Source organism: Homo sapiens, chromosome 2 (genome assembly GCF_000001405.40).
Source record: "Homo sapiens chromosome 2, GRCh38.p14 Primary Assembly".
Taxonomy (NCBI): Eukaryota; Metazoa; Chordata; class Mammalia; order Primates; family Hominidae; genus Homo; species Homo sapiens.
The window spans coordinates 129907507-129920741 of NC_000002.12; the positions used below are offsets into that span (position 1 = coordinate 129907507).

Here is a 13235-nt window from a genome sequence, read left to right on the forward strand (position 1 = left end):
CAAAATCCATTTGGAAGACAACGGCCTTTGCCTCTAGGAAAGGGGGCTCCCTCAAACGGGGTGAGCCAGAGAGAGGAGCCACCATCTGCACGAGGGCATGAGCCACTCCTTGAAGTGGCCAGTGGACACTCAGCTTCTCCCCCGCATGTGAGAGAGCCTCCCACAAAATCATCACTACCCTTGGTTGCTTGACAAACAAGGCCCAGGTTAACACAAACATGTCTGTTCATCACGTGTGTGCTTTTCCCTGAGCACAGGACATGAATCCACCCCGCCTCCCCGGACAGAGATGGACAGCCGCAAGGATGTTAGCAGGTTAATAATGACAGTCACTTTCCTTCCTCCTAATCACCAGAGCTCATTGCCTCCAGGCAAGTGTGAGAGATGGCAGGACCTGGCCTCTTCGAGACCCCAAAAATGAGTCTTTATCCCCCAAAGAGAAGTGCAAAGCACCACGCTGTGCTTATTATGTGCCCTAAAGTGTGTCTTTCATTTCAGACCCAACAAGCCAGATGGTCACTGGTAATGCTACTTTAACACACATGGAATGCAACCTCAATTTATATCAATTTAAAAAGGTCCTAACTCCTACCGTGTGCAAGAGAGGCAGTTATACAATGCGGTATAATGCAACACAACAGCACAGTACAATGTAGTGCAACACAACAGCACAGTACAACGTAGTACAACACAACACAGTGTAACATAATATAATACAGTGCAGTGCAACATAGCACAACACAGCGAGTACAACATGGTCCAGTGCAACACAGTGCAATGTAATAGCATACAGTGCAGTACTGGAAAACACTACGTAAGCAGGAAGCACACTACAGCACGGCACAGGACAATATACAAGTAATGCGATGCAATCATTATACAGCCTGGAGGGAAAAGGGACATGCATTCAAATTCTGTGACTTTGGGCAAGCACCTTCCTCTCTCTCATCCTCAATTTATTCATGTGGAAAATGAGAAAACAGTCCCCTTCACAGGTTTGTGGCAGAAATGGGATGAAATCACTGGTAAAGCTCCAGCCCCCAGCACATTCACCACCATGCCCCACCCCAGGTAAGCATGCACAGAGAGCAGTGTGGGCGCCTGAAGAGGGTCAGGGTCAGAGGAGTCCAAGTCAGACCACGAAGGACACCTGGGAGGCCAGGGAGGAGGCCAGAGGGGCGCAGCAGGACCACCCAGCTGCAGCAGCAGCTGCAGGTGTTCAGGTGAGCGGCTCCTACTCCCTCGGTGTCAAGTGGCTGGAACCGCCTCCTTGAGCTCTCCAGCAACCCTAGAAGGAACACACAGGTGATCAAGCTGCGACAGCTCAGAGCAGTGGCTCAGCGCCTTGGCCTCATGGCCCCAAGTGAAGCCTGAGTGCAGCCCGGTGCCTTGAGGAAACCTGCCGTGCCCAGCAGCAGCCTCCTCTCTGCTCCTCGGGGAGGGCCAGCTGCGGGCAGCACTCACACCCAGAGCCATCTGGCTCTGCTGAACTCCCAGCTGCTCTCACATGGGGTCACCCGGCCTGATACCCAGCCACCTCCAGCCCCTGCCTCACCTCTGTGAGATGAAGATGGTGAAGGCCCGGTGCCCACTGAGGAGTGCCAGAGGTGCCCTGGGGGAGCCTCGCAGCAGCCAGATGAAGCTTGACCACCCATCTCCAGAGCTCAGCCTGGCCCTCCGCAACCCCCACCAGGCTCAGCGAGCCCCTCCCCACGGCTAGCCTTGGCCCCTCGGCCTGCTCACGCTCCACCCTGGCTGTCTGTACTTGTCCAGGGCAGGACCATTTGCCACAGTGGAAAGGATTTTCAGAGGCAAGCCGCCATCCTTCAACAATATTTATGAGGTTGTCACAAGGTGATACAGAAATATTCACAAATATAAAAAGCCCTGCCTCCTGATACCTATATTTTACAGTAAGCTCTGGATGCAGACGGTTTTGGTTACACAGAAAAATGATTCTGATATGATTATTAAACTCATTAAACAACTTTTTCCACATTTTTCCACAGATGGGGCCTCAAAGTTCCTCCAAAGAAGGGTTCTCTACAATGTTCAAATCCCCTCCCCACTGTCCACCCCCACCCCATGAGGGTCCTCCCAAAGCCCACTCCACTGTGGGGTTGCAGGACAGGAAGGGTGAGAGATGGCGGAGAAGCGGGAACTCCAGCCTGGGCCAGCCAGAGCCCGAGATGCTGAGCTTCAGATTCTTGCCCTCAGGGCAACGTGGCCCAGGAGGCACATGGAGTGTGGCCAGGAGAAGGGACACCATGCCAAAAAGCAGGCTACAGCCTTCCCGGGGTCCACAGTGTTCCCAGGTGCTTTTAGCTGTGGACTCCTTTTCCAAATGAAGTCTGAAAAGGAAACACCCCATATCAAACAGGTGAAAGCAGCACGGGCCTGGATGACGTGGGCGTGGAAGGCTCAGAGCCCTGACTGCCCTCCTGCCAGTCTGGGGACCCCTAAGGCACAGCCTGCAAGTTCCGCACAGAGAATCCTTCTCCGGCTCCTGAGACCAGGCCCACAGGCATTGTCTGACGCTCTGTGAATTGTGCAGCAGGGTAAGGCCTTTCCAGGAGTGACAGGCGAGACCCCTGAGGGGTGTTGTAGGTGGCACAGTCCACAGGGCCCCACCAGACCAACTGCTCAGCTCCTCAGCTTTCACTCCTTGGATACCATAGCAGGTCTGGACCCACGGGGCCTTGGGACCCCCCATGGGGGTGACGTCTTTCCAGCTCAGAGGCACCCCAAGCCCACCTGTGCCACTGAGGCCCACCAGCACCACAGGGACAAACTGGGAGTCCTATGCCTTGACCAAAGGGGTATGATCTAAGGATTACAAAGGCAAAAATCCCCTCTCCCATCACCATGTCATAATCTCTGGATCCAGCGTAGCTTCTTTCTGTCTCTAATGCTCATCATCACAACTCATCGCATGGTGGGCAGGGACAGGTGGCCAGGGACAGAGGAGGCAGTGCTGCCGTGGGATGGAGAGGTCTCAGTCTCAGGGGCTCCTGGCCCCAGGTGACACAGGCACTGCTCAGGAAGGGGGCCTCTCCTGCCCCCTGAAGTCCTCCCTCAGGTGTGATCTCAGTCTCAGTTATCACAGCCAAACACATGCAAACAAACCTCATGCAAAGATGAAGAGAAACAAGAAACCTGGGGAGGCAGGAGCCTGTGGCCTTGCCAGGGCCTGTTTAATGTGCCTCAGGCAAGCAATGGGAAGCCATGGCTGTCCCAGGCCTGGCCCTGTGGAGATGCCCACTGGAGACGCCCCGTCCTGATGCCACCGCTGAGGCAGGCCCCCTCAATTGCCCGGGAATCCCAGACCACATATACCCTCCTTCCTTTGGTTGGAAGGAAACTCCAACTCCACAGGGCAGGTCCTGGGCTGTGCATGGCATGTGCGGCCCCACCCCTGCACTGACGCTGGGGTCACCTTATGTTCCCTTTGCCCGCATGTGGTGTCTGTCTGTCCATTGAGTGAGAAGCACCCCCCTACAGGGTGCCTTGGATCCAAGGCATGAGGTCAGTCAGGACCCTGTAGCTGAGCACTGGGAGGAAGTGTGGCATGGGCTGGAGCCCTGGCTGGGGCCCTGTACTCACAGGTCCTGAGAGGACTGGGAAGGAAGCCCCGAAGGCCCCACTTGTTGTGCTGGGCTGGGTTCTGCCCCCAGGAAGATCTGAAGGGCCAGGAAAGAAGGGACTGGGCTTGCTCTGTGGCAGGACCAATCCTAACAAGTAAGGCGGTGGGAGAATCCCTGCAGGAGATGGACCAGTATCCCCAGGAGCAGAGGGAGTCCCACTGGAAGTGTTCAAGCAGAGGGGTCTCCCACAGTGGGATCTGTCTTCCCTCTGCCAGCGAGGCAACTGGAATCCGAACAGGGTGCCCCTTGTCCAACCTTGCAGTAAGTCGTGGCAACTGGAATCAGAACAGGGTGTCACTTGTCCACACCTTGCAGCAAGTTGTGGTCTCTGGCCATCACCCAGCCCTCCCCTGGACAGCACGCGGCATGGCTGGGGTCTGCGGTGGACAGACCTGGCCTCCATGGTACTGCCTGGGCAGTCACCAGCTTCTCATAGCCTCCTGCCCCATCCAGAAAAAGCATAGGGGCCAGTGTGAGGATAACTCGGGGATGTCTGTCATGCCCCATTGCTGTGCCTGGAATACAGGGGAAGCTGAGAAGACCTCAATCTTCTTTTCTGACCCCCACCGCAGCCGGGTCATTGAGGATCACTCCCCTTCCCAGGCCCCAGCCTCCCTGCCGGAGCTCCCACTCTCTGGGCACACCCAGCATTCAGCGTCCCCACAGGAAACAGAATTCATCCTGGTTGGCTCAAGTGAAAGGCTGACACTGAGGCATGAGTGGACCCTGGGGGGCCAGCCACAGTGGGGGCCTCTTACCACCCTCTTACCACGTTACCTTACCACCCGGGGAGGGTCCGGGCAAGTAGCACCAAGAAACGGAGCCCAGCAGGAAGCGGGCAGGGAAGGAATGCCCATCCTCAACCCCTGCCTGTGCCTCCCACCGGCCAGACCTAGCAGGAAGCCAATGGGCAAGGGAGCCCCAGGGCGTGTGCAGAGGGTCTCTCCCTAGGGCAGGGCAGGGCAAGGGAGGAGAGAAGCAGGGCAAAGGGGACAGCCCAGCATCCCACAAAGAGCAGCATGGAGGAGGCAGGGACCTCGGCCCTGCAACCAAGACTGCAGGGCAACCTGAATGAGCTTCAAAGCATATTCATCCCCAGAGCCTGCAGACGCAAACTCAGGCAGCACCCTGATTTCAGCCTGGCGAGACTGAGCAGAGAGCGCAGATGCATTACATCATCATCCCTCTCACCTATGGAGCGGCGCACTGACAGGCCGCACTGTCCCAGCCTCTACGTTTGTGGTCAAAGAGCAGCACCTTCCTGAGGCCTGAGGCCTAGCGGGCACGTGAGGTTCGCCACATCATTGTTTCAGGTCAGTCCCGCTGATGGAGGGTCACTAACTCCTTCTTACAGGAAGTTAAACTGAAGCAGAGTGGGACAACGACCTACCCCGGGCTCAGTCACCCCAGCCAGGCCAGTCCTGTCTGCAGGAAAGGGACAGCACCACAGACAGCAGGGCGCCTTCTCCAAAGGGCACAGTACAGCCCAGGACACATGTAGGGCGGGCCCAGGGTGAGGGCACAGAGGAGGGGCTGAGGGATGCGCAGGCTGTGCTGGTGGGAAGGGGGCACAGCTGGGCAGGATGCAGCAGGAGTCCGGAGAGCTGGGCGGCAAGAGCAGGAGCGGAGGCCCCGACACCGCAGAGGAGACTTGGCGAGGCAGCACCTGGGGTCTCTCCCAAACAAGGCCGAGTCCACTTGTGTGCCCAGAGTTCAGTGGAGTTTTGTTCAGTTGCTCATCAAATAAAGTGTGATCTATTTCCACGGGGAAGGAATCAAGTACCGGATAAAGGTCGTTTCCATGCAGTGCCCCTGTTGCCACACGTCCATGTGGCTGTGTGGGTGTCTGGGTGTGTGCCATGCAGGAAATCTGAGCATGGGTTTGATCATAGGGGTATATGTGTCTCCGTGTGGGCATGTGTGCACATGGATTCATACATGTGTGTTGTCCATTTCTTCGAGCTCTCCAGCTCACTCTGTGGGCATTTACCCCCCTCTGTGCCAAGGGCAGGCTGCAGCAGGGGACGAGCTGGCCCATGGCTCTGTTCCTGCAGCCAGACCTCCGTTCCCCATGGTGCCAAGGCCAGCTGAGGCTACGGCCCCAAACTACCAGAGGCCAGTCACAGGACAGCAGGGCGCATGTGGAGGCTGCACAGGGACACTGGTCATGGGGTGCAAGGCAGAGAGTAAGGTGGGCTCCCTGGTTTTCTTACAGCCATGGTGGGTGGTGCGAGGTGACCCAGGCAGACTAGGGTAGCAGAATCTCAGGCTCCAGCACAAGAGATCAAGTGATGTGAAAACTCTGGAAGCCACAAGCTCTCTGGGAATCACCAAAGACAGTGGAAGTGCAGCAGGCAGGCCCCATACAGAAGCCGCTTGGGGCAGGGGCCTGACACGCCAGGCCTATACCTCTCACTGTGAGAGCCGGAACACGTGGCCTCATGTCTGAGCCCCAGCTGTAAACACAGTCAGGACCAAGGGAGAGGGCACCGGAAGAGCACCCAGCCCAGAGCAGACCCCCGACAGAGGCCACTCCTTCCATTTCCCCTGCCGTCCGGCGAAGGCCTTGACTACCTGTCAGTCCAGACTCCAAGTGGCCTGGAGGCCTCTGGAGGCAGCCCAGGGGTGGGTTCAGGATCTCTCTCCCTTATACTCAACCCAACAAGATTGCATAGTAACTTAGAGGAGTCTGGACAGACGGGAATGGCTGCTTTGGGAGTCAAAACCTGGCGTTACATCTGCCATTGGAAGCCACATAACTTTGAGGAAATTATCCAATGCCCTGTGCCTCGCTTTCCACGGTGTAAAATGTGGTGCAACAAGCAGGATTTTCCTAAACTGACCCTGGGATTCCCTCCAGTTTGCCTGGACAATGAGCCACATGGGACCAGGCACCCCCTGATCCCAGTGGGAGTGGGTTAGCCAAGCTCAGCTTCTTCCCAGACCACACAGTCTCCAGGGGAGGGGCAGCTGAAGCTCCCAGACAGCTCCTACAAACATTGGGCACCCCAAACCAGACCATGCCGGACGTGTCTGCTTGAGCCCACTGAGAAGACTGCTCTCACACTTGCCCTGAAGGAGGGAAGTCAGCAGAGCAGGGCCACACACAGCGACACAGCAGTTCTCTGGCCTCAGAGTGGGAGCAGACATGGCAAGACAGGCACAATGACAGACTGAACAACCAGGCACAGTTACAGACACACAGGGCAACCAGGTACAGTGACAGACAGCAGGGCAACCAGGCACAGTGACAGACAGCAGGGCAACCAGGCACAGTGACAGACAGGGCAACGAGGCACAGTGACAGACACACAGGGCAACCAGGCACAGTGACAGACAGCAGTGAAACCAGGCACAGTGACAGACAGGGCAACCAGGCACAGTGGCAGACACACAGGGCAACTAGGCACAGTGACAGACAGACAGGGCAACCAGGTATAGTGACAGACACACAGGGCAACCAGGCACAGTGACAGACAGACAGGGCAACCAGGTACAGTGACAGACACACAGGGCAACCGGGCACAGTGACAGACACACAGGGCAACCGGGCACAGTGACAGACAGACAGGGCAACCGGGCACAGTGACAGACAGACAGGGCAACCGGGCACAGTGACAGACACACACGGCAACCGGGCACAGTGACAGACACACACGGCAGCTGGGCACAGTGACAGACACACACGGCAGCCGGGCACAGTGACAGACACACAGGGCAACCAGGCACAGTGACAGACACACAGGGCAACCAGGTACAGTGACAGACAGAACAACCAGGCACAGTGACAGACAGGGCAGGCAGACACAGTGGCAGACAGACGGGGCAACCAGGTACAGTGACAGACAGGGCAGGCAGACACAGTGGCAGACAGACAGGACAACCAGACACAGTGACAGACAGACAGGGCAACCAGGCACAGTGACAGACAGGGCAGGCAGACACAGTGGCAGACAGACAGGACAACCAGACACAGTGACAGATACACAGGGCAGCCAGGCACAGTGACAAACAGGGCTACCAGGCACAGTGACAGACACACAGGGCAGCCAGGCACAGTGACAGACACACACGGCAGCCAGGCACAGTGACAGACAGGGCAGCCAGGCACAGTGACAGATACACAGGGCAGCCAGGCACAGTGACAGAACAATCAGGAACAGTGACAGACAGAACAACCAGACACAGTGACAGAGCAACCAGGTACAGTGACAGACAGAACAAGCAGGCACAATGACACACACACAGGGCAGCCAGGCACAGTAACAGATGGCAGGTCTCACCAGCCTGAAACAGAGCTTAGTCATTCTATCAACAAATGCTCATGGAGCATCTACCTGTGGCACATTATTCTAGGGCGGTTGGCAGAGCAGGGTATGAAGCAGACAAAAGCTTGTCCCTCACAGAGCTTACATTCTACTAACAGGAGACAGATAATAGATTAATTAGCAGACTAGCATATTAGAGCATCTTAAGTTTTGGGTGGAAAATGCAGAGGGGACATTGGCACAGGGAGAGGTGCATATGTAAACCCCCATCTACCACCAGGCCTCTCTGTGGACTCACGCACTGAAATAACACCTCTGGGAGCCCTGCTATTACCTGGCCTGCACATCCCACTGTCCAGAGCACAGTCCCCCATCGTTTCAGAACAAGAAAACTGAGAAGGGTAGGACCTCACCAGATTCTACATTCAGACAAGTGCCAAAGAACACTCTTTCTCATAGGACTCCTCTAATTTGGTAGCACATGGAAGCACTCCGATTTCTCAGCCATTCCCCTTCCTATTTATAAATCAGCATCCTAAATGGTGCTGCCTCAGTGAGCTGGTGACAAATGCGCTTGAAATGCATTCTCCTGCACACCCATAAAGTTGATTTAATATTTCAATTAATCTTCCCTCTTCCTCTTCCACAATTTATGTGGCTGCTTTTTAAGCAAGTCTTTCTTGGAGCTTAAATGAGCACAAGCGTAAACATCAGTTAATTTATCTGTTTCACTAGACATAATTTCATATCCCTGAAGCACCTCTCCATCCCCTTTATGGGCTGGCAGAAGGGCTCCCCTGGCCAGCACATGGAGTGACAGTCTCTAATTGCATTGCCAGTGAGGGCATCTATCGTGTTGTGTCTTGCCCACTTTGAGAGGCCATAAATTCAGATGCCCAAGTAAATGAGGAGCAGGTATTCCCCCCACAGAAGAAGACACTGAGCAAGGCAGCCATGGCATGGAGGCTGGAAGAGACCAAGAGAGTCTTCTGGCAGGAGCAGAGGCAGGCAGCCAACAGCTCTCTCTCTGATGCCATCACCACCCAGCCGGTCTAAAAGGTTCATGTCAGCCTTTAGCACTGAACTAAGCTCAGCTCAGAGACTTGTTTTGTGTTCTGCAGGGAAAGCATCCAAAATCCGCACCTTAACCACTTTCTAGTATCCTGGTGGATACCTTGAGGCAAGGTGTTCATGTAGGTTAATGAGGAGAATTGCATTGCTTATTTCTGGCTTGGTAGGGAAGCATAGGAGGGCAATGCTGGCAGGATAGGGACCTCGATCATCCTGACAGGCCCACTATATTAGGCGATATGAGCTCTTATTCAAACTCTGTAACTGAAGTGCTAGTTAGTCTTGGCCAAGCCATTTTCCCGCTATGGCCTAAGTTTCCTCACATGAATAGAATAAACTGATTTCCAGGTCCTATAAGATGGTGGACTTAGCCATGTGCAGTGGCTCATACCTATAATCCCAGCACTTTAGGAGGCCAAGGTGGGAGGAACACTTGAGGTCAGGAGTTCAAGACCAGCCTGGCCAACATAGTAAAATCCCATTTCTACTAAAAACACAAAAAATTAGCCAGGCTTGGTGGCATGTGCCTGTAATCCTAGATACTCAGGAGGATGAGGCAGGAGAATTGCTTGAACCCAGGAGACAGAGGTTGCAGTGAGCCGAGATCACACCACTACACTCCAGCCTGGGCGACAGACTGAGACTCCATCTCAAAAAACAACAACAAAAAAAGATGGTGGACTAAAATGACCCCAAACCTCTTCAAATAGAGACACCAAGAAATACTGGGGTAAGTACAACAAATATTACATGCATAGCTAAGCTCATAAGAAATTTTTTAAAATCTTTGGACAGAAACAAAGAAAAAACTAAATTCTACACTCTGAAGTATATAAGCTGCTGCCATGATGCCAATAGTAGAGTGGGAAGGTATTAGTACCAGTTAATTAGAGGGCTAAGTGTTAACATTTACATAGGACCAGGCAACAAGAATTCAAGAACATAAAGATGGCACAATTTTATAAAAGTACATGCTGTTTTGAAATATATTCAAATATAACTTTCTGAAATTAAAAACATAGTTTTTGGATTAATAATCCAAAAAGATGGGTTTAATAGCAAATTATATATGTTTGAAGAAAGAAACAGTAAACAGGAAGACCTGAAAAACTCAATGAGAATAGAGATCAAGAGATGAAAAATATAAGAGAAAGTTTAAGAAATGTAAGGTAGTGATGTCAATAATATGGTGAAATAGGAGGTCCCAGTCCTCATCCTCCCATACAAGCATCAACTTAACAATGATATACAAAGCAAAGTACCTTTATGACAAGTCCATAATTTGAAAGAGAGAGCAGCCACATTGAAATGGGTGACAAGAGCAATTTTATCTAACTAGCATAGCTCAGGGCCTGCAGAAAGTATCTCAGTCCATGACTTCTCCATCAGTGAGAAACGAAAAGTGAGTGGAGTATATATTTATTGTTCCCAGTATTTTGGGGTGCTGCCCAAGGAATCACTTTCTATCCCACCTCACCCAGAGCTCTGGAAGAACTGGCATAATTTAAACACGTGATTGAAGCTAAAAGCAAATTAATGGAGTGGGTAGCTAATTGCAACTAGCATGGCTTTGTAAGACTGGGAGAAAGTGCACAATCCAGAGACTTCTCTACCAGGAAGGAAGGAGAGGAGTGGAGCATACACATTCTTACACAAGGTTTGAGAAGTTCCTGGAATCTGTAGCCAGGCTGATTGGCAGAGTTCTTTCCCTCTCAAAGCCAGTCCACAAAGATTGGGAAAGGTGTCTGTGTCTTCAAATGCACAAAACCAAGGCAAAACTACAAGGAACATGAAGAATCAGGGAAATATGACACAACCAAAAGGAAAAAATTAATATCCAGTAACCAACCCTGAAGAAATGGAGATCTATGAATTGTCTAACAAAGAATTCAAAATAATCACCATACAGAATGTCAATGAATTAAGCAAAATCAAGAAAATAATACATGCGCAGATAGCCTGTTCTCTGCTGTGCTGCCTGTTGCACCCTTGCAAGTGAAAGAAAGGAAAGAAAGAAAAAAGAGAAAAGAGGAAGGAAGGAAGGAAGGAAGGAAGGCAGGAAGGAAGGAAGGAAAGAAGGAAGGAAAGAAGGGAGGGAGGAAAGGAAAGGAAAGAAAGAAAAGAAAGAAAGAAAGAAGAAAAGAAAAAAAAGAAAAGAGGGAGGGAAGGAGGGAGGGGAGGAAGGAAGGAAGGAAGGAAGGAAGGGAAAACAATGTATGAACAAAATGAAAATTTCCACAAAGAGACAGAGCCATAAAAAAGAACCAAACAGAAATTCTGGAGCTGAAGAATACATTAACTAAACTGAAAATTCAAGAGAATGTTTCAACATCAGACTTGATCACAGACGAATAAAGAGAAAAAGAATGAAAAAGTTAAGAAAGCCTAAGGAAATTAAGGGACACCTTCAAGTGAACTAATGTATACATTACAGAAGTCCCAGAAGTGGAGAGAGAGAGACCCAGAAGTGGAGAGAGAGAAATGGGCAGAAAACTTGTTTAAAGAAATAATGGCTGACAGCCAGGCACAGTGGCTCATGCCTGTAATCCCAGCACTTTGGGAGGCCAAGGCCGGTGGATCACTTAAGGTCAATAATTCAAGACCAGCCTGGCCAACATGGTGAAACTCCATCTGTACTAAAAATACAAAAATTAGCTGGGCATGGTGGCAGGCTCCTGGAATCCCAGCTACTCGGGAGGCTGAGGTAAGAAAATGGCTTGAATGTGGGAGGCGGAGGCTGCAATAAGCCAAGATCACACCACTGCACTCTAGCCTGGGCAACAGAGTGAGACTCCATCAAAAAAAAAAGAAAAGAGAGATGAAAGAAAAGAAAGAAAGAAAGAAAGAAAGAAAGAGAGAGAGAGAGAGAGAGAAAGAAAAAAAGAAAGAAAGAAAGAAAGAAAGAAAGAAAGAAAGAAAGAAAGAAAGGAAGGAAGGAAAGAAAGAAAGAGAGAGAAAGAAAGGAAAGAAAGAGAAAGGTTGAAAACTCCTCAAAAGAGAAATGGACCTCCAGATTCATGAATCCCAAAGGATCCGAAATAGGAAGAACCCAAAGAAATCTGAGATAAATTTATAATCAAATTTTCAAAATTCAAAGACAAAGAGAATTTTGAAAGCAGTAAGGAAAAAGCAACTCATCATATACAAGGGAACCTTTAGGAGACCATCAGTGGGTCTCTCAGCAGAAACCTAGCAGGTCAGAAAGAAGTAAGGTAATATATTTAAAACATTGAAAGAAAAATGGTGCCCACTGAAAATATTATATCCAGAAAACTTATCTTTCAAAAATGAACAGGAGATACTCACTGGCAAACAAAAGCTGAAGGAATCCATCACCACTAGATCTGCCTTACAAGAAATGCTTAAAGAATCTCTTCAAGTTGAAAAAAAAAGAATGCTAAACAGCAACATAAAGCAAATAAATGCATAAAACTCACTGGAAAAAGCAAATACATAGACAAATACAGAATGTTGTAATACTATAAAGGTGGTATAAAAATCACACTTAATTTCAGTACAAAAATTAGACAAAACTATTAGGAATAACTATAACTACAAAAAGTGTGAGTAGAGACAATATAAATGTATAAATTTCGACATCAAAAACAAAGTATGGGGTGGGGAGAAGTAAACATACAGGGTTTTTAATGCAAGCAAAATTGAGTTGTTATCAGCTTAAAATAGACTGTTATAACTATGTTTTATACAAGCCTCATGATAATCATAAAAGAAATACCTATCGAAGATACACAATAGAAAAGAGAAAGGAATCAAAACATATCACTACAAAAAAACCAATGAAACACAAAGGCAACAACAGAGAAAAAAAGAAACAAAAGAACCACACAGACTAAAAAATGTTTAACAAAATGTCAATAGTAAGTCCTTCCCTAGGATAATTATTTTAAATATAAGTGCAGTAAATATAAGTGCATACAAATACTAAATAAAACAGGGTGGGGATGGACATACTTATAGCAGACAAAATACACTCTAAGCCTAAAACTATCACAAGAGACAAAGAAAGACATTTTAAAATGATAAAAGGATAAATTCATCAGGAAGATATAACAATCATAAATATACGCACCCAACATCAGCACATTTAAATATGTAAAGCAAACATTGACAGAAATGAAAAGAAAAATAAACATAAATACAATGATGGTAGAAAAACTTTAATATTCCCCTGTCAATAATGGATAGAAGACATCCAGACAGAAAATCAATAAGTAAACAGTGCACCTGAACA

The 13235-nt window shown here is 49.9% G+C and overlaps 3 annotated features.

Annotated features, from left to right (window-relative positions):
• Positions 1450-1970: an enhancer, noted in NCBI's record as "H3K4me1 hESC enhancer chr2:130666529-130667049 (GRCh37/hg19 assembly coordinates)". NCBI's record gives its function as "activates a minimal SCP1, AML or CMV promoter by ChIP-STARR-seq in naive H9 embryonic stem cells {active_cell/tissue: H9 hESC(naive)}" and the evidence as "EXISTENCE:reporter gene assay evidence [ECO:0000049][PMID:30033119]".
• Positions 6895-7395: an enhancer, noted in NCBI's record as "H3K4me1 hESC enhancer chr2:130671974-130672474 (GRCh37/hg19 assembly coordinates)". NCBI's record gives its function as "activates a minimal SCP1, AML or CMV promoter by ChIP-STARR-seq in naive H9 embryonic stem cells {active_cell/tissue: H9 hESC(naive)}" and the evidence as "EXISTENCE:reporter gene assay evidence [ECO:0000049][PMID:30033119]".
• Positions 7396-7896: an enhancer, noted in NCBI's record as "H3K4me1 hESC enhancer chr2:130672475-130672975 (GRCh37/hg19 assembly coordinates)". NCBI's record gives its function as "activates a minimal SCP1, AML or CMV promoter by ChIP-STARR-seq in naive H9 embryonic stem cells {active_cell/tissue: H9 hESC(naive)}" and the evidence as "EXISTENCE:reporter gene assay evidence [ECO:0000049][PMID:30033119]".